Here is a 26,306-nt window from a genome sequence, read left to right as displayed (position 1 = left end):
CTGGGGTGCAGGCAGGGGTGCATGGGGCCAGCTATCCTAGAGATGTGAGCTTCATCCTATTGGCAGCAGGGAGCCACCCAGGATGGTGAGAGGAACCACCTGACCGGACGCATGGAGTGGCCAGCCAACAGCACCTCTGCTGTGTTCCAACTCAGGGGAGAAACCACACACAGGACTTGGCAAATGGGAAACCAAGATACCCCCTTATTGCTAAGGAAAGGGATTTTGGAGAACATGGCTTCTGTCTGCAGGCCAGTGAGATGCCTAACATGAGCTCCAGCGCTGGACAAACTGACCATGGGCCTCCACAGCCTGGGCAGGTGTCTGTCATCGTGGGGCAGAGGGAAGATGGTAGGCCCCTGTCGACCCACCTCATCTACAAACTCTGCCTCTGAGTAGGAGGAGGGGGACCTCCCCAGTGGAAGCGAACATCAGGAGAGGGTCGTCAGGCGCTTGCTCCTGGCAGAGCCCACAGGCAGGGTGGAGGAGCTTGGGAGAACAGAAGCCGAGAGCCCCGCCAGTCCTCCAGACAGCTCCTCTGTAAGGACTGAGCCAGATGCGGGAACTAGAGGCAGCGTCTGTCCCTCAGTGTTTAGGACTCAACTGCCATGTAATCCAGGCACAGAAAACTGACGCCGGGGGACAGGCTTTTGTGGACTAGCCAGTCAGGGACAGGACTGGACCCGTGCCCTGGGCCCCTGACTCCCCGCCCACAGCTTTTCCCTCACAGCGTTTTCCACTTGCACTTTGCTCCCGAGGACTTCCTCAAGCTGAGTTTGGTGCACACGGCCAGTGCTCCTGGCAGCTGTCCAGTCATCTGCGTGGCCAAGTGCTACACACAGCAGGAAAATGTCACCAGAGACACGAATCCCAGCGTGACAAAACAAGACACGATCACCATCAGGCCTGAGCCCACTCTACAGATGGAGTAAGAGGCCAAGCAGCCTGACCAGCCTGACCAGCCTGACCAGCGAGTTCTCAGCACAAAGAGCATCCCCGCACTCCTGAATCCTGTGGGAGGCTGAGTCCAGCGAGATGTCCCGGGGTAGAACCTGGCTCCGCGACGAGGGCGGGGAAGGGGCGGAGCCAAGGAAGGGCGGGGTTCGGGGCAAGGGCGGGGCAGGGCGGGGCCGGGGCACTGGTGATTGGAAGCCTGGTGGGCGGGGCCCAGGACCTCCCTGCCCTCTCCGCCATTAACTCGGAGCCCGGCGCAGTGGAAAGCGGGCCAAGAAGCAGAGGTCCAGGTTCCAACTCTTGATTCTATCACAAAACACTGCACCCGAGGCAGCCAGGCAGCTTCCGAAGACCTCGTAAGTGCCCCGCCATTTGCTGGGTGCTGGGGATACAGACATGAAAAGAAAAATAAAAGACTCAGCCCTGCCTCCGGGAACTCACAGTCCCGCTGACGGTTTAGTCCTCTCCTCTCTCTGGGCCTCACTGCCCCCATCTGGGAGATTGACAGGTTGGACTGTCACGACCGTCTCGCCGCCGCTGCAGAGACGCCCCTGGATCACAGCGCCCCTGCCTCTGCGGCCCTGGACAGGGCTCAGGGCCCAGCCCCTAAAATTGCTCAGGGTGAGGTTGGATGGATCAACCACAGCAACTGTCACCTCACAGCAGGAGACAGGGAAACTGAGTCCCAGAGAGTCAAGAGAGTGCTTACCTGAGACCTGGGTAATACTGGAAGCTGTCCTTCCATCCACCAAGAGCTCTTCGCCTTTTTATTTTTAATTTTTGTTTTTGTTTTTGAGACGGAGTCTCACTGTCGCCCAGGCTGGAGTGCGGTGGTGCAATCTCAGCTCACTGCAACCTCCACCTCCCGGGTTTCAGCGATTCTCGTGCCTCAGCTTCCCAAGTGGCTGGGATTACAGGCATGTGCCACCACACCCGGCTAATTTTTGTATTTTTAGTAGAGAAGAGGTTTCACCATGTTGGCCAGGCTGGTCTCGAGCTCTTGACCTCAAGTAATCCACCTGCCTTGGCTTCCCAAAGTGGTGGGGTTACCGGCGTAAGCCACTATGCCCAGCCCAAGAGCTCTTTGCCTTCTGAGAGCAGCGTCCTGTGGAGGCAGAAACAGGTATCTGCCCTCACCAAGCCTGACTTCTCACCGGCTTCCCCCAACAATTGCACTGCAGGTTCCGCACGCTTTTCCTTCCTTTCCTTCTTGTCCTGTCCCCTCCCTTCCCACAGCTCTGGGACCGCAGCCTTTACCTGGGCTGCCCGATCCCCTGGTTGCTCCCCAGAAACAGTGGCTTGGCTGCGTGTTGGCATCCACAGCACGTGATAAGGGCTATGGGATTTGGGCGACCCTGGAGGGTGAGGAAAGGGAAGGTGCCCATGTGAGGACTAGGCGTCTGGAGAGAGGAAGGGAGAGGGCCCGGCGGGAGGAAGTGCTGCCCCAAGCGGCAGGACAGGGCTCTGAAAAACCACAAGATGCTTGTGAACAGCCAGTGCTGCTGCTGGTCCAAGCCGTTACCCTGTGCGATGCCTGAGGAGCGCCCTGAAGTTTTGAAAGGCGGAAGATGAGCTCCCTGCAAGGAGGGTTTTCCTGCGGTGGGATAGAGGCCTCGCCCAGAGCCCGAGGGCAGCACAGCACCCCTCGCAGGCCACCTGTCTGCATAGTTCACCCTCCTCGGCCTCCTCTCTCCCTCCTCCCACCAAGGTGGGCCCTTTGTTCTCCATCTGACTCACCAGGGCTCCTTCCCCACTCCCACCCCACACCAGCCCTGCCTCAAGCTGGAGGGGGAATGCTGGGGGAGCTGGGGAGTTGGTTTGGGTCCTGCTTCTGAGAGGCGAGAGCTCCAAAGGACCCCTCCCTGCCCAGCGTGTTTCATCCCCAGATTCTTAGAGCTGACCACCGCCCCCCCCCCCCACCCACCCACCCACCCACACACACACTGGCTCCAGCTGTCCTCAGGGTCCCAGTGCCCTCTGGACACTATGCCAGGACAGCCCCTCTGAGTCTGCCAGTAGCTACCATACCCCTCCCTCCTTCTCCAAGCTAAATGGCCTCTGTTCCCTCAAAAACAAAGAACTAAAGGCAAGCACTAGAATGATCAAGCTCTTAGAAGAAGCAGAGGGCCGTGTCTCCAGGACCTCATGGAGGCAACAGCTTCTTAGCCTTGACACCAAAGCATGAGCAACAAAAGGAAGAATAAATAAATTGGATTTCAGCAAATTCAAAACAGTTGTGCTCTAAAGGACACTATCAAGAAAATAGGCTGGGTGCAGTGGCTCACGCCTGTAATCCCAGCACTTGGGGAGGCCAAAGCGGTTCGATCACTTGAGGCCAGGAGTTCGAGATCAGCCTGGCCAACATGGCAAAACCCTGCCTCTACAAAAAAAATATAAAAATTAGCCAGGTGTGATGGTGCATGCCTGTAGTCCCAGCTACTCAGGAGGCTGGGGTGGAAGGATTGCTTGAACCTGGGAGGTAGAGGTTGCAGTAAGCCAAGATTGCACCACTGCACTCCAGCCTAGGCAAAAGAGTGAGACCCTGTCTCAAAAAAAAAAAAAGTAAGTAAGTAAAAAGATAACCAACAGGATGGGAGAGAATATTTTCAAATCATATTTCTAAGAAGGGCTTTGTATCCAGAATATGTAAAGAACTCAGGTAACTCGATAATAAAAAGACAACCCAATTTAAAAATGGGCAAAGGATCTAAACACACATTCTTCCAAAGAAAATATACAGATGGTCCAAGCACGTGAAGACACGCTAGACATTATTAGTTGCCAGGGAAATGCAAATCAAGACCACAACGAGATGTCATTTCACATGCACTGAATGGCTAGAATCAAAAAGTCAGCGGGAAAAAGAGGCAGATAAGTGTGGGTGAAGGCGTGCAAAAATAAGAACCCTGATAACACCGTTGGTGGGAAGGTAAAATGCTGTACCTGCTCTGGAAAACAGTGTGGCAGTTCTTCACGGGTGAAACACAGAGCTACTATAGAACCCCACAATTCCCTCTCTAGGTACACACCCAAGAGACGTGAAAACAGGCCGGGCGCAGCGGCTCACACCTGTAATCCCAGCAATCTGGGAGGCCAAGGCGGGCGGATCATGAGGTCAGGAGTTCGAGACCAGCCTGGCCAATGTGGTGAAACCCTGTCTCTACTAAAAATACAAAAATTAGCCAGGCGTGGTGCCAGGCACCTGTAATCCCAGCTACTCAGGAGGCTGAGGCAGGAGAATCATTTGAACCCCGGAGGTGGAGGTTGCGGTGAGCTGAGATCACGCCACTGCACTCTAGCCTAGGTGAAAGAGCAAGACTCCATCTCAAAAAAAAAGAAAAAAAACAAAAAAGGAAACATACATCCACATAAAATGTACATGTAAATGTTCATAGCAGCATTATTCATAATAGCCAAAAGGCAGAAACAAACCAGATGTCCATCCAATGGTGAATGGATAAACACAGCGTGGCCTACCCATACAATGGAGTATTATTTTATTTGGCCATAAAAGCAAGGAGGCCCTAACACAGCAGGAATGAACCTTGAAAACATTATGTTCAGTGAAGGAAGCTATACACAAAAGATCATATATGATTCCACTTATAGGAAATGTCTGCAACAGGGACATCTATAGACACAGAAAGTCGACTATTGGTTGCCAGGAGCTGGGGAAGGAGAAATTTGAAGTCATGAATATAGGTTTCTTTTTGGGGTGAAGAAAATGTTCTAAAATTAATTTTAGTGGTGGTTGAACTTGTCTAAGAATATACTACCCACTGACTCGCATACTTTAAAAGGATGAACTGTATGTGAAGTATATCTCAATAAAGCTGTTTTTAAAACAATTTTTTTTTAAGACAGTCTCATTCTGTCACCCAGGCTGGAGTGCAGTGGTGCAATCTCAGCTCACTGCAAACTCCACCTCCCGGGTTCAAGCGATTCTCCTGCCTCAGCCTCCTGAGTAGCTGGAATTACAGGCACATGCCACCATGCCCAGCTAATTTTTGTATTTTTAGTAGAGATGGGGTTTCACCATGTTAGCCGGGCTGGTCTCGAACTCCTGACCTCAAGTGATCTGCCTGCCTCAGCCTCCCAAAGCACTGGGATTACAGGTGTGAGCCACCACGCCCAGCCTAAAACAATTTTTTTTCTTTTTTTTTTGACAGGTTTTCGTTCTTGTTGCCCAGGCTGGAGTGCAATGGCACAGTCTTGGCTCACTGCAACCTCCATCTCCCAGGTTCAAGTGATTCTTCCACCTCAGCCTCCCGAGTAGCTGGTGTTACAGGCACCCGCCACCACGCCTGGCTAATTTTGTATTTTTAGTAGAAACGGGGTTTCACTATGTGGCCAGGCTGGTCTCAAACTCCTGACCTCAGGTGATCAGACTGCCTCAGCCTCCCAAAGTGCTGGGATTACAGGCATAAGCCACCGCACCTGGCCAACAATTTTTTAAGGAAAAGAAGAAAGGAAAATTATTGACCTCAGCTTCCACCTTAACTAGAAAAGACCAAATGAAACCTAAAATAAAAAGAAGAAAAGAAATAATAAAAATCAGAGTTGAAATCAATGAAACAGAGAACAGAAAATAATAGAGAACATCAATGAAACAGAACGTTCTTGAGAAAATTGTTAAATTTATAAATTATAGTTAGATTGATCAGGAACAAAAGAGAAAATAAAAATGACCATTATCACAAATGAAATGGATAACTTTACTACACATTCTACAGATATTTTTAAAGTCTGAGGCACAGACCTTTAATATAAAAACGCTTTATAGTTCTGTCTAGGGACATAAGATCTCAGGAAAAAGAAAAGAAACATCAGTAAAAGCACTTTTGCTCTGTTTTACAAAATTGAAAATCAATCCCGTGCCTTGTCCAGGTTGTTTTAGGTACACGAGTGTAAAACTGTATGGTACCCACTGTAATAGACGAAGCCCAGCTTTCCATTTGATCATGTGCTTATGTTTTCATCTATGGGGTCCCCAGGACCCCTGCACACAGTAGGTGTGCAGTAAACGTTGAGTAAGTCAATAGATGGTGGTGGTTGGCATCGTCTTCCTAATGTACGCTAGACTCTGTAGTGGCACAAAAGTCAGCACCTGGAATCCACGTGGGTTTCCGTATCCTCCACCAAATGTTCACCAAGCACTCCTCTGTGCAAGGCCTGAAACAACAGAGGAGAACAGAGATTTGGAACTTTGAGTTAATAATGGTAGTTAGATGATATTTTGGACTCCAAGTTGACCCTAGAATACTTAAGCCTTCGGAGCATGTTAGGATGGGATGAAGGCGTTTTGCCTGCGGGAAGGACATGAACTTGGAGGAACCAGAGTGTGGACTGTTATGGGTTGACTAGGACCCTCAAAAACGACGTTCAAGTCCAAACCCTCACTACCTGTCCTTCTGACCTTATTTGGGAACGGGGCTGTGCAGATGTCATTAGTTAAGATGAGATCACACTGGAGATTACGGTGGGCCCTAAGCCAATATGAGGGGTGTCTTCATGAGCAGAGGGAAATCCGAACACAATACAGGGAAAAGGAAAATCTTTCTGGTGTTTTATTTACTTGCATTAGTTTCTAAGGCTGCTGTAACAAAGTACCACCAACTGGGTGGCTTAAACAACAGAAATTTATCATCTCACAGTTTTGGAGGCTGCAAGTTCCAAATCAAGGTGTTGGCAGGGTGGGTTCCTTCTAGGGGCTCTGGGAGGAAATCTGTGCAAGGCTCTCTTCCAGCTTCTGGAGGTTGTTTTTGCTCACAAGCCTGGGCAGTCTTTGGCTTGTGAAAGCATCTCCCCAGTTTCTGCCTTCATCTTCATGCGGCGCTCTCCCTGTGTGTGTGTGTCTCCAAATTTCCCCTCTTTATAAGGACACCAGTCCTACTGGATTAAGGCCCACCCTAATGATTTCATTTTAAGTTGACTGTCTCAGCCAAGGCCCCATCTCCAAATCAGGTCACATTCTGGGATGCTGGGAGTTTGAATTTCAACACATGAATTTTGGAGGACACAATTCAACTCGTCTCACCGGTTCAGGTGTCCAGAATTGGTTTATTTCCCATCTTAATTGTAGATTTACAATGTAAATGAGCCATACATTTTGTCAATTTTGTTTTTGCAAGAAGTATTTAATTTGTTGGTCTTACCTATTTTACTACTTAGAAGAAATTAAAATTGCCTAAGTAAGAGTTCTCAAAGAGGTTTAATTGGCTTTCATTCCTGGTTCTCTGCCCAGATTCTCCTAAACACATCCATTCCTGTTTCTGGCAGAACTTTTGCAAACCCATCCCAGGTATGTTTTTTACATTATTAATTTTTTTAATTGTGGCAAACTATATATAACATAAAATTTGCCATCTTAGCCACTTTTAGGTGTACAGTTCAGAGGCATTAAGCACACTCACAGTGGTGTGCAACCATCACCATTATCCACCTCCAGAACATTCTTGTCTTCCCAAACAGAAACTCTGTCCCCATCAAACACTAGCTCCCAGCTGCCCTCCCCCAGCCCCGACACCCACCATTCTACTTTCTGTCTCTGTGTAAGACCTGCATAGTCTGGACATTTCAGACCAGCAGAACCACACAATAGCTGTCCTTTTGTGTCGGGCTTATTTCACTGAGCGTAATCTCCTCAAGGCTCATCCACATTGCAGAACGTGTCAGAATTTCATTCTTTTTTAAGGCTGAATAATATTCCATTGTATGTTTAGACCACGTTTTGTGTGTCCATTCATCACTGCTGGCCATCTGGGTTGTTTCCACCTCTTGGCCAGTGTGAACCGTGCTGCTGTGAACATTGGCAAAGACGTGTCTGCTCAAGTCCCTACTTTGAGCTCCTTTGGGTAGATGCCCAGGAGTAGAATGGCCCATCAAAAATGAAAAAGCAATTTTAACGTTCAAAAATCTTTAGCATGGTACACTTGGATCTCACCTGATTATCTAAAAAATTAGCGGAGACCAAAAAATCTCCTCATTGATTTCTAACCTGAATCTCTTCAAACCTCAGGCCTGTTTCTTGGAGAAACTGATTCAGGGCTGCCAGGCCTCCTTCCTGCGTCTTTCCCGGCTTTGCTCAGCTCTGTCATTTCTCAGTTAAGGAGGCACAAGCTCAAAAGGATGGCAGCCCAGATGCTTCTAAATGAGGCAGCTCCTGAGGACTCCCATGCCGCAGGTTTACAATCCAGCTATTCCACCGATATCAGAACCAGCTCACACTTCCTGCGTGCAGACTGTATTCAGCTGGGATAAAAGCTCTGCTAGAGTGCTATTGAGAAAATAATCCTGGGGCTAAAAACAAGCAGCCAAAAAATCACAGAGGGAAATCAGATGTCGGTTATATCTGAAAAATAACACCACGATTGAGGCTCCCAGTGCCAACGCATGCACACACATGCACACACACATGCAGACACACACATACACAGAGACACATGCGTGCACACAGAAGAAAGGGCTCCTCGTGGGAATGAAGATGAGGGCCAAACCATGGAGGCAGGAGGAGCAAAAGCATTGTGTTCTCTGCCCTCTGGGAGCTTAGTGTCTAGCACCGGGGATGCCGCCGGGTGGCAAGGCCACCACCATGGCTGGCTGTGGCTGAGACAGCCATCGGGCTCCCCCAGCAGCAAGGGGGCCGTGGCCAGCTCTGGCCAGTGGGCCGTGAGTGCCGGCGACATGTGCTCCTTCTGTGGGAGTGTCCTCTCCTCACAGGCACCTGCTGCAATGGCCACCCTGTCTACTGGGTCCTGGGTGACCACGTGGAGCTGAGCCCCAGCCCCACAGACACAAACAGGGGCAACAAATAAACCCCAGTGGGAATTAGCTGTGAAGACGATGTGCCCTCCCTGAAGCAGCAGCGAGCCCCAATGGTCCTCCCCAGCACACCGGGCACTGTCCCACCTCCAGGAGCATCTCCCGTGTTTGCAAGTGGGGGTGAAAATCCTTAGACGATGTGGGGACAAAGGGGTGGCCATGGCCACAGCCGGCATCATGGCACTCCCCTTCCCGCCCCGAGACTACACACCGTCAGAGGCTAGAAAACTCCTCTGAGAGCCTGCCAGCTGCACGAGGACTGCCCCTCCGTGTGCCTGGGACTCACTGTCATCATGGGTGGGGATGGACTTGCACTTTTACTTTTTTTTTTTTTTTTTTTTGAGACAGAGTTTCGCTCTTGTCGTCCAGGCTGGAGCACAATGGCACGATCTCAGCTCACTGCAACCTCCGCCTCCCAGGTTCAAGCAATTCTCCTGCCTCAGCCTCCTGAGTAGCTGGGATTACAGGTGCCCGCCACCATGCCTGGCTCATTTTTTTTGTTGTGTTTTTAGTAGAGACAAGGTTTCACCATGTTGGCCAGGCTGGTCTTGAACTCCTGACATCAGGTGATCCACCTGCCTCAGCCTCCCAAAGTGCCGGGATTACAAGCGTGAGCCACCGCCCCAGCCAGGGCTTGTACTTCTAAACAGCTTGCGGCCATGTGGCTGCTGCCAAGAAAGAGATTCTGTAAAAGGAAGCCAAACTCAAGGGCGAGCGCCTGCCCTTGCCTTTGGAATTTTCCTTTGAAAGATGACTGTGTCGTTACATTGACGAGGTTTAAGGCCAGGGCGATTTTTCCAGATGGAAGCCCCCTCGGACATTATGCTGTGTTTTAAGAGGGAACAGTCTTACAGAAAGGGCAAAGTGAAACCACTTGGTGTGGGGTTTCCAAAGCCTGCTCAGCTCTGTCCCCCTAATCGTTGTTTTGTTTAGCTTGGTGTGGATATCGTGGTAATCGGTTTTAAAGGTCAGGCCCGAGTCTTTATGACATGCTAGTGAGTGCTGCATTCTCTTGCGTGCAAGCTTTTTCTCAGAAAAAATGTCTTTCGTCTCTTACAGTTGGATGCAGCAACATCAGAGGGGTGATTACCCCCAATTGCCAAAGAGGTTTCCAGCGCTGGAAGGAAATTTGGAGATCAAGGCCGAGTTGGCCTCAGCCAAGTGAAATGGGAATCAGGACCATTACAAAGAAATTCAATTAAAATAAAAGACACATCATAAACTTTGACTGGAAAACTCCAAATGGAATTAATATTACGTTGGTCAAATTACCTAGATAATTGCTTTCATTTTTCATTGCATCTTGATAGAAAGGACCAAGCTACTTAAAAATGAGTCCCAAAATGTATCCATTTCATCTTCTCAATGACTCCTAAAACCCTCTCCAAATGACTCAGATGCATTAGCTAGCTATTGCCACATAACATATTACCCCAAAACCTAACAGCTCAAAACTACAACAAACATCCTCCCCAGCTTTTGATATTTGCTGTCTTTTTCATTTCAGGCGTGGGCCGGGTGAGGATGTAGTGATTTCATGTTGCGGTTTTACTTTGCATCTTCCTAATGATCAGTGCAACTGAACACTTCTTCCATGATGGTTGACAATTTAGCAACCCTCTTCTGTGAAGTATCCCCATCTGTCCATGGGGTTGTCTGTCTTATCCTTCATAAGCTCTAGTTCTCTGTATTGGCTGAATACAAGTCCTGTTGGGGATATACACATATATTGCAACTATCCTTCCCACTCTCTTGACAGTGTCTGTTGATGAACAGAATTTCTTGTTTTCAATACAGTTCAATTTATCAATTTCTCAGTTAGCACTTTTGAGCACTGTTTTAAGAAATCTTTAGGCCGGGTGTGATGGCTCACACCTGTAATCCCACCACTTTGGGAGGCCAAGGCGGGCAGAGTTAGGTTAGTGCACTTCTGTTTAGGGAGTTAGGAGTTAGTGCAGGTTAGGAGTTTGAGACCAGCCTGGCCAACACGGTGAAACCCCGTCTCTTAATAAAAATACAAAAAATTAGCTGGGTGTGGTGGCGGGCGCCTGTAATCCCAGCCACTTGAGAGGCTGAGACCAGAGAATCGCTTGAACCTGTGAGCATGGAGGTTGCCGTAAGCCAAGACCATGCCGTTACACTCCAGCCTGGTGACAGAATGAGACTCCATCCCAAAAAAAGAAAAGAAAAGAAAGAAAGAAGGAAAGGAAAGAAGGAAAGAAGGAAAGAAGGAAAGAAGGAAAGAAAGAAAGAAAGAAAGAAAGAAAGAAAGAAAGAAAGAAAGAAAGAAAGAAAGAAAGAAAAGAAAAGAAAAGAAAGAAATCTTTATTTGCTCCAAGGATACAAAGACGTCCTCCTATATTTTCCTCTAAAAGCTTGATTTGTTTTCACTTTTCACACTTAGCTCTGCAGTCCGTATGGAATGGGTTTTTTGGTGTGGCGGGAGGTGGATCAAGACAAGCCTTTCCCATACAAATCTCCAGTTCACCCAGAATTATTTATCAAAAAGACCATTCCCCCCTTCCCCCAACGAGGTAGGCTTCCTGTCACTTTTCTTGTTGCTAGAAGTGGATTTTGGATTGCTGGAAGTGATTACAACAATCTGACATCCCCTTAGTGATTTACACATGTATATACATCTACATTAGCACTTGTGCCAAAGATTAGAAACATTTAAATGTCCACATATGGAGTCAGATGAAATTATGATTACATTGAGATAACAGACCACCATGAAGCCATTGAAAAGCCTGAGTAGATCTGTGTGCGTAGATATGAACAGTCTTGGGTTGTATTAGTTACATTTAAAAAACAGAGTTGGGCCGGGCGTGGTGGCTCACACCTGTAATCCCAACACTTTGGGAGGCCGAGGCGGGCAGATCACTTGAGGTCAGGAGTTCAAGACCAGCCTGGCCAACATGGTGAAACCTCGTCTCTACTAAAAATACCAAAATTAGCCAGGCATGGTGGTGGGCACCTGTAATCCCAGCTACTCAGGGGCTGAGGCAGGAGAATCGCTTGAACCTGGGAGGCCGAGGTTGCAGTGAGCCAAGATTTCGCCACTGAACTCTAGCCTGGGCAACAATCGCGAGACTTCATCTCAAAAAAAAATAGTAATAAAGTAAAAATAGGCCTGGCGCGGTGGCTCACGCCTGTAATCCCAGCACTTTGGGAGGCCGATGCAGGTTGGATCACCTGAGGTCAGGAGTTTGAAACCAGCCTGACCAACATGGTTAAACCCCGTCTCTACTAAATACAAAAAAAAATTAGCTGGGCATAGTGGTAGGTGCCTGTAATCCCAGCTACTCAAGAGGCTGAGGTAGGAGAATGGCTTGAACCCAAGAGGCAGAGGTTGCAGTCAGCCGAGATTACGCCATTGCACTCCAGCCTGGGCAATAAGAGTGAAACTCCATCTCAAAAAAACAAAAAATAAATAAATAAATAAATAAATAAAATAAAAAATAGAGCTAAGTTCTCATGTAGTAAAAGGGAAAGAAAATGAGGAGCAGAAAAGCCTGAATAAAATGCAACATTTGTGAAAAAACGTGGGTGTTGTATACATATTCATGACTGTTATATAAAATATCTCCACAGGCACCCACAGGAAATGATAGTGACAGTTGCCCTGGAAAGAAATTTAGAGACAGGCACAGGAGGGAAACTGTCCTCCAGACGTATTTTTATATGGTTTCAATTCTTTTTTCCCATGTGCATGTATTTCAGATTTTTATGTACTAACGTACACATTTATGTATGTAATGTACATATTATATATTAATGTACATATACATTTAATGTATTATACCTTAAAATACCTTTTCATTAAAGATAAAGTCAGACAAACTTTTTTTAAAAAGTTAATATATGCCCATTATTAAAAAAAAAAGTTGGACAAAATAGAAAAGTGCAAAGAAGAAAATAAAATTAGCCCAGATCCCAATCCCCGCAAGTGACCACTAGCAACCTTTCAGTGTCTTTTCTCCCAGGCTCTTCTACATCACTGAAATCATGGTGTAGGAATACTCTTTTATCCCACAACTTTCACAAAACTGTACCAGATTTTCTGTGTCATTAACTTCCTGCCCCAGCATGCTCTGTGATGCCGGCTGTTTCAAGTCCTTGCTATAAGTGATAATGCTCTTATCAGAGGTGTGTGAACCAGAGCAACTCCATCTTGAATAGGCGCTGGGTAAAATGAGGCTGAAACCTACTGGGCTGCATTCCCAGATGGTTAAGGCATTCTAAGACACAGGATGAGATAGGAGGTTGGCACAAAATACAGGTCATAAAGACCTTGCTGATAAAACAGTTTGCAGTAAAGGAGCCGGCCAAAGCCCACCAAAACCAAAATGGCCATGAAAGTGACCTCTGGTTGTCCTCACTGCTACACTCCCACCAGCACCATGACAGTTTACAGATGCCATGGCAACGTCAGGAAGGGGAGGCATGAATAATCCCCCCTTTGTTTCGCATATCATCAAGAAATAGCCATAAAAATGGGCAGCCAGCAGCCCTCAGAGCTGCTCTGTCCATGGAGTAGCCATGCTTTTATTCCTTCACTAATAAACTTGCTTTCACTTTGCACTGTGGAACTGCCCAGAATTCTTTCCTGTGCAAGCTCCAAGAACCCTCTCTTGGGGTCTGGATCGGGTCCCCTTTCCTGTAACATCTTTCTGGTGACCATGAAGGGACTATACTGCGGAAACCCCTGACCCAAAAGCTAACTTTGGGTAAGTGGTGGGGTCCAGTAACATCTTTTTCACAAACCACAAAAGGGACAATACTGAGGAGACCCCTGACCCAAAGGAAATACACTGCAGCACTGATTGGACGATTTTGGGTAAGTGGTGGGGTACCTGGGTAAACAATGGGATTGGGTTAGAGGCCCAACTTAGGGAAGTTAGTCTCTCCTAAGACAGAGTGGGTTAGAGGGCCCTCTTAATAAAAGGCAAGAATGCTTGACCAAACTTGGGTTAGAGGCCCAATTTAAGAGGGTTAGAGTCCCTTCTAAGATTTAGGGGCTTGGAGGGTTAGAGTCCCTTCTAAGATTTAGGGGCTTGGAGGGTTAGAGTCCCTTCTAAGATTTAGGGGCTTGGAGGGTTAGAGTCCCTTCTAAGATTTAGGGGCTTGGAGGGTTAGAGTCCCTTCTAAGATTTAGGGGCTTGGAGGGTTAGAGTCCCTTCTAAGATTTAGGGGGTTGGAGGGTTAGAGTCCCTTCTAAGATTTAGGGGGTTGGAGGGTTAGAGTCCCTTCTAAGATTTAGGGGGTTGGAGGGTTAGAGTCCCTTCTAAGATTTAGGGGGTTGGAGGGTTAGAGTCCCTTCTAAGATTTAGGGGGTTGGAGGGTTAGAGTCCCTTCTAAGATTTAGGGGGTTGGAGGGTTAGAGTCCCTTCTAAGATTTAGGGGGTTAAAGACTCTCAGTGCAGTCCCTTTCAGCTAAGAACAGTTCTGGCACTATGAGATGTTAAAAGCTATTCTCTTCGGAATAATCTGCCTTGCACTCTTTGCTGATGGCTGTGGGTGACAGGGTTAGGCGTGTACAGGATCATGGGACATGGGGAGCTTTTTCCTCCCTAAACGGGGAAACTTGAGAGCTATGGGACGGCTGGAAAAGATTCCTTTGCTACCCACAAGCGGCCGCCTGAGCTTTTCATTGTCGGCTGCAATGAGTGGGTCTTTTCTGGCCTCCCTAAGCTCTTCACCTTCTCCACCCTGCCTCAGGCAATACTTTCCCTCTCTATTTTTCCTTTTCTATCTTTTCTGTTACTCAGGGCAACCATCTTGCCCAGAGACCACGTGTTGAAACTCCAAGTTGGAAGTTGGATTAAAGATGACGGGGCCCATCTGGGGGCAAATTTAAGCCTTGCCAGTTTCATACTGTGTGCTAAGCAGAGTGGCTAATGTCTGTGTTTGATCACATGTATTCTGCTCTGGCCAGAACAAAAAATAATAATGTCCTTTATAATGTGGCTTGACCCCCAGGGCGAGGTGCCACAAGCTGGATCACTAGGGCTGCTTAGGGAAAGGGAACCCAGAAGCCTGGCACATTGGCAAAAGGGTAAGAATTTCTCACCAGTCAGATTTCTGGCTTCTCTCTCTGTGCAAATGGTTGAATGAATGGGGAGAGAAAAAAAAAAAAACTGTTTATCTCCTCTGTCAAGTTTTGATTAATGCGAAAAAGAATTCTAAGGCTAGTTTTAAGCTGTTGTATTTTATGCTATGAATTCATTTTTCTGTGTTGAGGGGTACTTCAGGATAAAACATGACCTTAAAACACCGGTAAGCCCACTTTTCAAGACGACCCAGCAGGCTGGGTCAGTAACAAACTTGGCTGCAGGTCCCTGAAACAAACAAAAATCTGGATGAAGTCTCCACCTTGTTTTATGTCCTTGGGAGTTTGACCTTGTAACCACATGGCAGTACTTTTGGTCTCTGCCTTCCAAGGAACAGGAATTTTAGGGTTCATGTCATAGTTAGCTCTAAAAATCCTATTAAATAAAAAGCCTTTGCAAGTTCAAAATTAACTATTCCCTTCTGGGAAGGGAAACAGAGGCTGCCCCATGCTAGAGCTCAGTAACTAAGGTTCTGCACTTTCACAGTCACGGTCCTGATTCAATTCCCCACCTTGGAAGTAAGTCCTTTCTGGTTTAATATCTGCGTGTCCTTGTCTATTTTCTCCTCCTCCGTGGATTGTCTTAAATTTTCCTTTCTCTAAGCCCCTGGGAGGTTACCTTTGGTAAAGTTCAAAGGCCAGAAATATTGGCCGTTTGGCATAAGAAATTCTAAAAGGACTTTATTAATGAGTACTATGGTTAAAAATCAGTTTCATTAAAAGTGGCTATTCAAGCTCTAACAGCCTGGACTCCTTGAGAAAAACAGGAGGCACCACAGACCCCTTTCCTGGCCCTGTTCTTCTAAGGGCTCCACCCAAAAGCCAGTAATCCAATTAAGAAACTTAAAAACTGGCAAATGAAAAATCTTACAACTACTGTAGTAATCTTCTTCTTTCTGTGTAGCTATATATGTGTTCTGTGTAATGTTTATATAAAAGAACTCTAATTAACTGGCTTAAACAAAAATAAGCACTTAAATATTTTGAAGGCAAAATAAAAACTGTAACGCCTTTTAGTTCATGTAACTTTAGTAATCTTTGGGAAATAAAAACAGCTTTAAAAATTATTGATAAAAACATTTAGTCTAAATTATGCAGGTCAGATATTAAGTTTGCTAAATGCTTTAAGGTCATAAACTGCTTCTTTCACTTTGAAAACTTGTTCAATTTACCTACCTTAAAGCCATTAGGGTCAGGCGTGGTGGCTCACACCTGTAATCCCAGCACTTTGGGAGGCTGAGGCAGGTGGATCACAAGGTCAGGAGTTCAAGACCAGCCTAGCCAAGATGGTAAAACCCCATCTCTACTAAAAACACAAAAAATTAGCCAGGTGCAGTGGCAGATGCCTGTAATCCCTGCTACTTGGGAGGCTGAGGTAGGAGAATTGCTTGAACTCGGAGGGCGGAGGTTGCAGTGAGCCGAGATCGTGCCACTGCACTCCAGCCTGGGTGACAGAGTGAGACTCCATCTCAAAAAAAAAAAAAACCATTAGGTTCTAGATAAGGCCTGGGGACACGTGGAATTAGCCATGCTTCCTAGCTATACAAAGAAGATTATAAAGAAAGATTTTCTACGAGAAAGGATCTTCGGCCAGGCACGGTGGCTCATGCCTGTAACCCCAGCATTTTGGGAGGCCGAGGCAGGTGGCTCACCTAAAGTCAGGAGTTTGAGACCAGCCTGACCAACATGGTGAAACCCCATCTCTACTAGAAATACAAAATCAGCTGGGCATGGTGGCACATGCCTATAATCCCAGCTACTTGGGAGCTGAGGCAGGAGCATTGCTTGAACCCAGAAGGTGGAGGTTGCAGAAAGCCGAGATTGCACCACTGCACTCCAGCCTGGGCAACAGGAGTGAAACTCCATCTCAAAAAAAAAAGGAAATAAAACATCCTTGTATGGTAAATTCTTGTCCTAGGCCAGGTGCGGTATCTCACGCCTATAATCCCAGCACTTTGGAAGACCAAGGTGGGCAGATCACCCTGAGGTCAGGAGTTCGAGACCAACTTGACCAACATGGTGAAACCCCATCTCTACTAAAAATTACAAAAATTAGTGGGGCATGGTGGCACGAGACTGTAATCCCAGTTACTTGGGAGGCTGAGGCAGGAGAACTGCTTGAACCTGGGAGGTGGAGGTTGCAGTGAGCCAAGACTACACCACTGCACTCCAGCCTGGGCAACAGAGTGAGACTCCATCTTGAAAAAAAAAAATTTGTCCTAAAGTAAAATGACTGGTTGTTTAAAAGGAGAAATGTTTAGGGCAAGTCAGAAAGTCCAAGAATGTCTCAGGTTGTTTAAGTCGTGAGAGGATTTGTGAAAAGGAATTTATGCAAGAAATGTTGTTGTACAATTCAAAGGTTGTCAGGCCTTCTAAATGCTTCATAAAATGCCACTATGACTCTTACTGTACAACTTGCCTGCTTTACAGACAGGTAAGCCCTGGGGACGTGTGGAGTTAGCCACGCCCCCTAGCTATGCTGGAGAGTCAGCTCTAAGTCTGCACTTCTGCCTAGTATGTCCTAGGCAGGATCCACACCTAGTAAATAATTAAAATCTCAAACTTACCAAGGTTTTTGCCAAAAATAAAAGTTGAAAATGTGTTTTTGGTGAAAGACTATAAGATTTGGTATAATTGGTATATGTTCCAAAGTTATGGGAAACTCATAATTCTAATATGACTTAGTGTAGTTATTAATTGTTATGTAAAAATTTTTGTGCCACAGAAGTAACCAAATTTCCTTATTAATTGTGGCTTTAATAGCGACTGTCCTAAAACTTTTTATCATCCACAGATAATCATTGTCTTGTTTTAATCCTCTTTAGAAGGTGGCTTATAGTCAACTATAAAACTCTAACAGGTGTTCTTAAATACAGGTTTCTAATAACTTTGGAACTGTAACTTTAGAATAGAGGAAACAACTTTGAGAACTCTCATGAAGAGCTGGAATGTTCATGAATATCAAATAGAACAGGAGTTAACTGAATTAACTGAACCAATAGAAAACTGAAATAATCTTTTTAACTTTGCTTAAAATGCTGCTGATTCTTTGTTTTGTTTTTCAGAGTGAAGGAAACTTTTGAGCTATTTACAGCTTTTAGCAATTAAGTAAACTATACTCCTGTGAACAAAATTTGGAGCATATTTGTTTCTCTCTACCTGATTTCTCCAAACTTTGGAAACTATTTGTGAATACTCTTAATTTATGGCAATATAGTTTTTTGCATAAGTGAGATAAGAATCTGTTTTCTGGGCTGGGCTCAGTGGCTCGTTTCTGTAATCCCAGCACTTGGAGAGATCAAGGTGGGCAGATCACTTGAGGTCAGGAATTCGAAACCAGCCTGGCCAAAAAGGCAAAAGGCCATCTCTACTAAAAATATAAAAATTAGCCAGGTGTGGTAGCACATGCCTGTAATTCCAGCTACTAAGGAGGCTGAGGCAGGAGAATTATTTGAACCCAGGGGGCAGATGTTGCAGTGAGCTGAGATCAAGCCACTGCATTCCAGCCTGGGCAACAGAGTGAGACTCCATCTCAAAAAAACAAAAGGGGGTGGGGGGTTAGGGGTGAGAATCTGTTTTCTTTTGTAACAGGACACAATTGGAGAAATTTTACCAAGGCTTTAACTGGCATGGTGTGCTTTCATTTAAGGAATCAAACTTAACTTGTAAAGCCAATAAAAGCCCCTTGGAGAATTGGTCTGACCTTGTCTGCAATAGTCTCTGCATAGGGTTTCTGACCTGTGGTAAGTAAAGAATGTCAATTTCTGACAGGTCCAGGAGCCCCAAGTTATCTTGGGACCCCAAGAGGAGAGGAATTAACTCAACTCATAGGTATTTGAGGGTACAAAACTACGGCTGAGCTTAGCTTTAAAAAGCCTTACCTAAAATTCCTTCTACGGAACAGAGCTCCAGCAAAGCCAATTTTAAAAGAGCCTCTGTGGAAAATAATTATTCTTGCTGCACTTTATACAAATAATCAGGCCAAAGGCCAAGTGTAATAAAGCAAATCAGTCTTACCATGATTTGTTTTTAGTAAAAATGAGAAACTGGAGAGAGAAATATTATGTTTCAAGAACTATGGTACACTTGTTTATTAAATTCTAGTCTCATTAGTTGCTTTTAAGTTTGTTTCTGCAATTCAGGCTAACCCTGCTTATTCCTGTAAACCAACCAGCGATCTCTGTCTGCTGCTCAGAAGAAACAAGAGGGATGGGTAATGTAAAAATCTGGATCAGCATTCTAATTCTGGGCACATTACAATCAGCTAACAACCCCATGTCAGCTTAGTTCCAACATGCCCAGTTCATGAAAAGCCTTCTAATTTAGTTTACTTGGAATAACTTTACTTATTTTGGTTTATTCTTATGGAATATATTGCTGTTATACTCTTTGTGTAGGAATATAGGACAAGCTTACTGAATGTTTTCTTAAACACTTATTAATCTTGCAGATATCACCTTTTGTCAAAACTCAAGAGTTATGAATGCCCCCTACCATACTGATGCTTTCCAACTGAGCTCTTCTCTACCCTGAATGCAAGAGAACCTCAGAGTTAGGCAGGAACATCATTATCCCTATTCAGCCTGAAGAAGTTACAGAAGATGGATCTTCATCCCTCTGCAACCCTTAGGATTAAAGGTTCTCTTATAAAAGGGAGGGGAGAAATGTCAGAGGCACGTAAACCAAAGCAACTCCACCTTGAATAGGAGCTGGATAAAATGAGGCTGAGACTTACTGGGCTGCATTCCCAGATGGTTAGTTAGTCTAAGTCACAGGATGAGATAGGAGGTCAGCATAAAATACAGGTCAGAAAGACCTTGCTGATAAAACAGGTTGCAGTAAAGGAGCCGGCCAAAACCCAGCCGAGAGTGACCTCCGGTCGTCCTCACTGCTACACTCCCACCAGCGCCATGACAGTTTACAAATGCAGTGGCAATGTCAGGAAGTTACCCTATATGGTCTAGAAAGGGGAGGCATGAACAATCCACCCCTCGTTTAGCATATCATCAGAAATAACCATAAAAATGGGCAACCAGCAGCCCTCGGGGCTGCTCTATGGGTAGCCATTCTTTTCTTCCTTTAATTCTCTGATAAGCTTGCTTTCACTTTTCTCCGTGGACTCGCCCTAAATTCTTTCTTGCACGAGATCCAAGAACCCTCTCTTGGGGTCTGGATCGGGACCCCCTTCCTGCAGCACTCTGAAGAGTACTTGTGTCCTGTCTGAGCATTTCCTCAGTGTACACTTCAGGATGTGGAAGTATACATTGTTAAGGTCCTGTGTGCACACTGGCAGGTTTCCCTTCAGAAAAGGCACACCAATCTGCACTGCCACCCAGACAGCCTGTGTGGGAACAGCAGCCATTCGTGGCATCAGAGGAGACAGAATCCCCTCTGATGACACACTCAGGCGGCATGTGCACCCCCTTGTTCTCTATGTCCCAGCCATACTGGGAGAGACATGACCGGTGGGATTTCCCAGGAAGCTGACCCATGGAGCAGCACGGGAAGCACCCTCCTGCTGCTAACGTGCAAAACGGGACACAAGCTAAGCATGGGTACTTTAGTCAAGAGGTACAGCTCCACCTGGGACCTGGGGACTCAGCCTAGAAGCAGACACAAAACTCTGAAAAAACTGTAATCCCAGCTACTCAGGAGGCTGAGATGGGAGGATCACTTGAGCTAAGGAGTTCAGGCTGCAGTGAGCTGTGGTCACACCTGTGCACTCCAGCCTGGGTGACAGAGCAAGACCCAGTCTCTAAAAAAAATAAAGATGATCATAAAAAATCTGAAAAAAAAAAAAAAAAAAATAGAAATCTGGGGCAGGGAGGGCAGCAAAATACAGCCCACTGGCAAACAGGCCCACCATTTGTGTTTATAAATAAAGCTTTATTGGCACACAGCCACAGCCATTCATTTATATATTGTCCACAGCTGCTTTGGTGCTAGAACAGTGGAGTGGTAACACAGATCATAAGGACTGAAAAGACTAAAGTATTTACTCTCTGGCCAGGGACATTTGCTGACCCCGATCTAGAGTGTATGGAGCTAAATTAGCATTCAAGGGTAAGGGTGAAAGAACATCATTTTCAGATGTCCAAGCAGTGTACTCCCCACAGATCTCACTGAAGACATTGCTATTGCACTTCAGCAAGAAGGACATTAAAGCCAGGAGAAAATAGTAAAATGTGAAGTATAACGGGGACCATATAATCACCTCAGCTGCAAGCTCAGCATCCCCCTTCCAAAGCCGCCTGCATCCGGTGACTGATGGAGGTGGGGGACGGAAGCCCAGCCCTCTCAGGCACATGGGGGCGTTCTGATGGGTCTTCACTCCAGATTCCACCCTACCCCTAGGCTGGCAGAGGCGTGGAATCTCTTCCTCTGCCCAAGCCTGCTGCACTTCCCTTCCCTCCGCAATGGATAATCCGCGGTCACAGCTTGCATCCGAAGCCCCATCTCGGCAGCCACCCTCGGGGAACCCACCCCGCAGCACACACTGTTGAAGTCTTTGGTAAAGGGAGCTGGGGTTTTATTCTTAGTGTGATGCAAAAGCCACTGGCAGGTTTTGGGCAAAAAAGAGCCGGGATCTGATTTATTATTTTGTACGACAACTTGAGCTGCTTTGTAGAGAATCTATTGGGAGGTAGAGAAAGTTCAAGTGTGGAAGTAGGGGAAGAGATAAGAGCTTGGTGTACTCATCCAAGTGAGATGTATCGGTGGTGTGGAGTAAGGCAGTAGATAGGGATATGACAGAAAATGAGGTATACTGGATATATTTTGAGCAGCGCGCTCTTAAATACTGGGAGCCTACTGCAAGCAACATACTAAATGCCAAAAGTTTCAAGTCAACCTCATTAAAGACAGGAACAAGGGGCCGGGCATGGCGGCTCACACCTGTAATCCCAGCACTTTGGGAGGCCGAGGTGGGTGGATCACCTAAGGTCAGGAGTTTGAGACACGCCTCGCAACATGGTGAAACCCTGTCTCTATTAAAAATACAAAAACTAGCTGGGCGTGGTGGCGGGCGCCTGTAATCCCAGCTACTCGGGAGGCTGAGGCAAGAGAATTGCTTGAACCTTGGAGGCAGAGGATGCAGTGAGCTGAGATCGTGCCACTGCACTCCAGCCTGGGCAACAGAAGGAGACTCCGTCTCAAAAATAAATAAATAAATAAATAAATAAATAAATAAATAAATAAATAAATATAAATATAAATAAATAAAGACAGGAACAAGGCAACGAGGGCCACCATCGCTGCTAAAATTCAACACCAACTCAAGGTAAATGCAGTGAGACAAGAAAATGAAATGTGAATAATAGAAAAGAAGATGCAGAGAAGCCACGGCTGACTGTGCAGTCCCCGAAAAATAAAGTTATGTTGACTGAACACAATTTGAAATAAGAAAGGAATTCAGCAAGGTCTGGCAAGACTGGGAGTTTCGGGGCTGATTAAGGAAGAGGTATGACCATGAGGTGGCGCCGGCACACCGTGAGCTTCCTTTGGGCTGCTTTTTGACAGCTGGGACACTTTCCAGAGAGACAGCACTGGGCCACACCCAGAAGGGAGGGAGGGCAAGGGGACTCCGGGAGAAGGGACTCTGTGAGGGCTTACCTATCTAGGTGAATCTCTGGGTCAGAAACCTCCAAAGGGCAGCAGCCATTTGAAGTCTTGACCTCTCTGTAGCCCCTTATCTGTGGCTGACAGATGGTGGGTGCAGTGTGGTGGAGTGGGGCAGACTGTGCAAAGCTGGCAGGCTCTAAGTGGCTAACAATATGCTTCTCTGGGCTACATTTAATGCAAATGGATGTGTGAAAATTTGAGTTTGCTGCTGGCTTGCTTTGAGCTAACAGCCCCGGCCTGCTGTGAAGAAGTGAAAACATGGGGCCAATATGCAGGGCCCACTTTACCCCTTGGATATAACAGAAGGTGACCAGGTATAAAGTCAGCATATAAATACCAAAAGGGTTCCAACACCCAAGCAATGGCCAGTGTGAGACGTAATGGAGCATCCCATTCACCAAAGCCACAAAACCCACATAATACCTGGGATAACTCTAAAGAAAAAGATGTGCAGGAACACAGCAAAACCTTTTCTAAAAACCTTTTAAGAAGACAGGAATAAAAGTAAATGATATCATTTTTCTGGAAGAGATGATTTGATATTATAAAGGTGCTTAATGCTCCCCCATTAATCTATACATTTAATCCTATCACAGTCAAAATTCCAACAGATGTTCGTGGCAGTGAGAAACCAACCCTAAAGTTCACCCAAAAGAGAAAAAGGAGTATAAGATTTGTTCAAGGTAGAAAAAAAAGAGAGAAGTAAGCAGAACCAAGAAATTTGGTTTTAATGACAAAAAAGGAAGCAACCTAAATATGTTCATCAGTAGGGAAACGGTTAAATAAATTAACAGTTTGCTATTAAAGAATGTATTCACCAGGCACAGTGGCTCACACCTGTAATCCCAGCACTTTGTAAAGCCAAGGCTGGAGGATCCCTTGAGCCTAGGAGTTCAAGATCAGCCTGAGCAACAGAGCAAGACCCCTTCTCTTCAAAGAATGTACAAACTATGACTGGAAGCAGAGAGCCAAATCATGAATGAACTTCCATTCACAATTGCTACAAAGAGAATAAAATACCTAGGAACACAGCTAACTAGGGATGTGAATGACCTCTTCAAGGAGAACTACAAACCACCCCTCAAGGAAATCAGAGAGGACACAAACAAATGGAAAAACATTCCATGCTCATGGATGGGAAGAATCAATATCATGAAAATGCCCATACTGCTAAACATAATTTATAGATTCGATGCTATTCCCATTAAACTGCCATTGACATTCTTCACAGAATTAGGAAAAAGCTATTCTAAAATTCCTATGGAACCAAAAAAAAGAGCCCAAATAGCCAAGACAATACTAAGCAAAAATAAAAAAGCTGGAGGCATCACGCTACCTGACTTCAAACTATACTGCAAGGCTACAGTAACCAAAACAGCATGGTAGTGGTACAAAAACAGACACATAGACCTATGGAACAGAATAGAGAAGTCAGAACTAAGACCACACACCTACAACCATCTTACCTTCAACAAACCTGACAAAAATAAGCAACAAGGAAAGGATTCCCTATTTAATAAATGGTGGTGGGACAACTAGCTAGTCATTGAAACTAGACCCCTTCCTTATGCCTTATACAAAAATTAACTCAAGATGGATTAAAGACCTAAATATAAAACCTGAAACTATAAAAACCCTAGAAGAATATCTAGGGAATACCATTCAGGACATAGGCATGGACAAAGATTTTATGATGAAAATGCCAAAAGCAATTGCAACAAAAGCAAAAAATGACAAATGAGATCTAATTAAATTAAAGAGCTTCTGCACAACAAAAGAAACTATCATCAGAGTGAAAGGCAGCCTACAGAATGGGAGAAAATTTTTACAATCTATCCATCTGACAGAGGTCTAATATCCAGAGTCTACAAGGAACTTAAACAATTTACAAGAAAAAAACAAACAACCCCATCAAAAAGTGGGCAAAGGACATGAACAGACACTTTTCAAAAGAAAACATTCATGCAGCCAACAAACGTATGAAAAAAAAAGCTCAACATTCCTGATCATTAGAGAAATGCAAATCAAAACCACAATGAGATACCATCTCACGCCAGTCAGAATGGCAATTATTAAAAAGCCAAGAAACAACAGATGCTGGCAAGGCTGCAGAGAAGAAGGAACACTTTTACACTGTTGGTGGGAATGTAGATTAGTTCAACCATTGTGGAAGACAGCGTGGTGATTCCTCAAAGGTCTAGAACCAGAAACACCATTTGACCCAGCAATTCCATTACTGGGTATATACCCAAAGGAATATAAATCATTCTATTATAAAGATACATGCACATGTATGTTCACTGCAGCATTAGTCACAATAGCAAAGACATGGAATCAATCCAAATGCCCATCAATGATAGACTGGGTAAAGAGAATGTGGTACATATATGCCATGGAATACTATGTAGCCATAAAAAGGAACAATATTATGTCCTTTGCAGAAACATGGATGGAGCTGGAAGCCATTATCCTCAGCAAACTAACAAAGAAACAGAAAACCAAACACCACATGTTCTCACTTATAAGTGGGAGCTGAATGATGAAAACACATGGACACAGGGAGGGGAACAACACACACTGGGGCCTGTCGGGACGGGGGAGCAAAGGAAGGCACAGCATCAGGAAGAATAGCTAATGGATGCTGGGCTTAATACTTAGGTGATGGGTTGATCTATGCAGCCAGCCACCATGGCAGACATTTACATATGTAACAAACCTGCACTTCTTGCACACATATCCCGGAACTTAAAGTAAAAGTTAAAGAAAAAAACTACAGCAGCTAATTACTTGCTAAGCAATTTGAAGAAAACTACAAAATGAAACTAAAAACTTCCCAAAAAAAAAAAAAGAGAGAGAAAGAAAGAAAAAGAAAACTATGGCTGGGCGAGGTGGCTCATGTCTGTAATCGAGCACTTTGGGAGGCCAAGGAGTGCAGGTCGCTAAATACCTGGAGTTCGAGACCAGCCTGGCCAACATGGTGAAACCCCACCCCATCTCTACTAAAAATACAAAAATTAGACAGGCGTGGTGGCGCGTGCCTGTAATCCCAGCTACCCCAGGGGCTGAGGCAGGAGAATTGCTTGAACCTGGGAGATGGAGGTTGCAGTAAGCAAAGATCATGCCACTGCACTGCGGCCTGGGCGACAGAGCAAGACTCTGTCTAAAAAAAAAAAGAAAAAAAAATTGGCCGGGCACTGTGGCTCAGGTCTGTAATCCTAGCACTTTGGGAGGCCGAGGTGGGTGGATCATCTGAGGTCCAGAGTTCGATACCAGCCTGGCCAACATAGTGAAAACCCATCTCTACTAAAAATACAAAAAAAAATTAGCTGGGTGTGATGGCACATGCCTGTAGTCCTAGCTACTCAGCAGAATCACTTGAACCCGGAAGGCAGAGGTTGCAGTGAGCTGTGATCATGCCACTGCACTCTAGCCTGGGTGGCAGAGCGAGACTCTGTTTCAAAAAGAAAAAAAATTTTTTTTAACTAAAAAAAATTAAAAATTTAAAAATAAAAAAAATACTTAAAATTAGCCAGGCGTGGTGGCACACACCTGTGGCCCCAGTTACTCAGGAGGCTGTTGTAGGAGGATCCCTTGAATCCAGGAGGTCAAGGCTGCAGTAAGCCAAGATCACGCCACTGCATTCCAGCCTAGGCAACAGAGCAAGATCCTGTCTCTTAAAAAAAAAAAAAAAAGAATGTATATGGAAATAAGTTTTTTAGAGGGCAACTGTAGAACACTGAAATAGTAGGAAGCCATTTTTATAAAACCAAAGTGATCTATCTACGTGTGTGTATGTGCA

At 45.5% G+C, this 26,306-nt stretch overlaps 2 long non-coding RNA genes across 2 annotated transcripts in view, besides 2 other annotated features; one reads left to right on the top strand and one right to left on the bottom strand.

The window, feature by feature from the left end:
* Positions 1,074 to 1,173: a silencer, noted in NCBI's record as "silent region_15251". NCBI's record gives its function as "represses an Ori minimal core promoter by ATAC-STARR-seq in GM12878 lymphoblastoid cells {active_cell/tissue: GM12878}" and the evidence as "EXISTENCE:reporter gene assay evidence [ECO:0000049][PMID:35858748]".
* Positions 1,202 to 7,154, top strand: LINC02447 (long intergenic non-protein coding RNA 2447). The gene is made up of 2 exons (NR_027441.1): positions 1,202 to 1,310; positions 5,124 to 7,154. It is a non-coding gene; the product is annotated as a long intergenic non-protein coding RNA 2447 (long non-coding RNA).
* Positions 2,372 to 2,501: a silencer, noted in NCBI's record as "silent region_15250". NCBI's record gives its function as "represses an Ori minimal core promoter by ATAC-STARR-seq in GM12878 lymphoblastoid cells {active_cell/tissue: GM12878}" and the evidence as "EXISTENCE:reporter gene assay evidence [ECO:0000049][PMID:35858748]".
* Positions 5,520 to 26,306, bottom strand: part of LOC105374370 (uncharacterized) — a 28,511-nt gene continuing 7,724 nt past the window's right edge. The window contains exon 3 of the long non-coding RNA XR_925103.3: positions 5,520 to 6,126. This is a non-coding gene — a long non-coding RNA (uncharacterized LOC105374370). The remainder of the gene's footprint in view (positions 6,127 to 26,306) is intronic.

This window comes from Homo sapiens, chromosome 4 (genome assembly GCF_000001405.40).
Source record: "Homo sapiens chromosome 4, GRCh38.p14 Primary Assembly".
NCBI lineage: Eukaryota > Metazoa > Chordata > Mammalia > Primates > Hominidae > Homo > Homo sapiens.
This window is presented reverse-complemented; position numbering and strand designations above follow the sequence as displayed.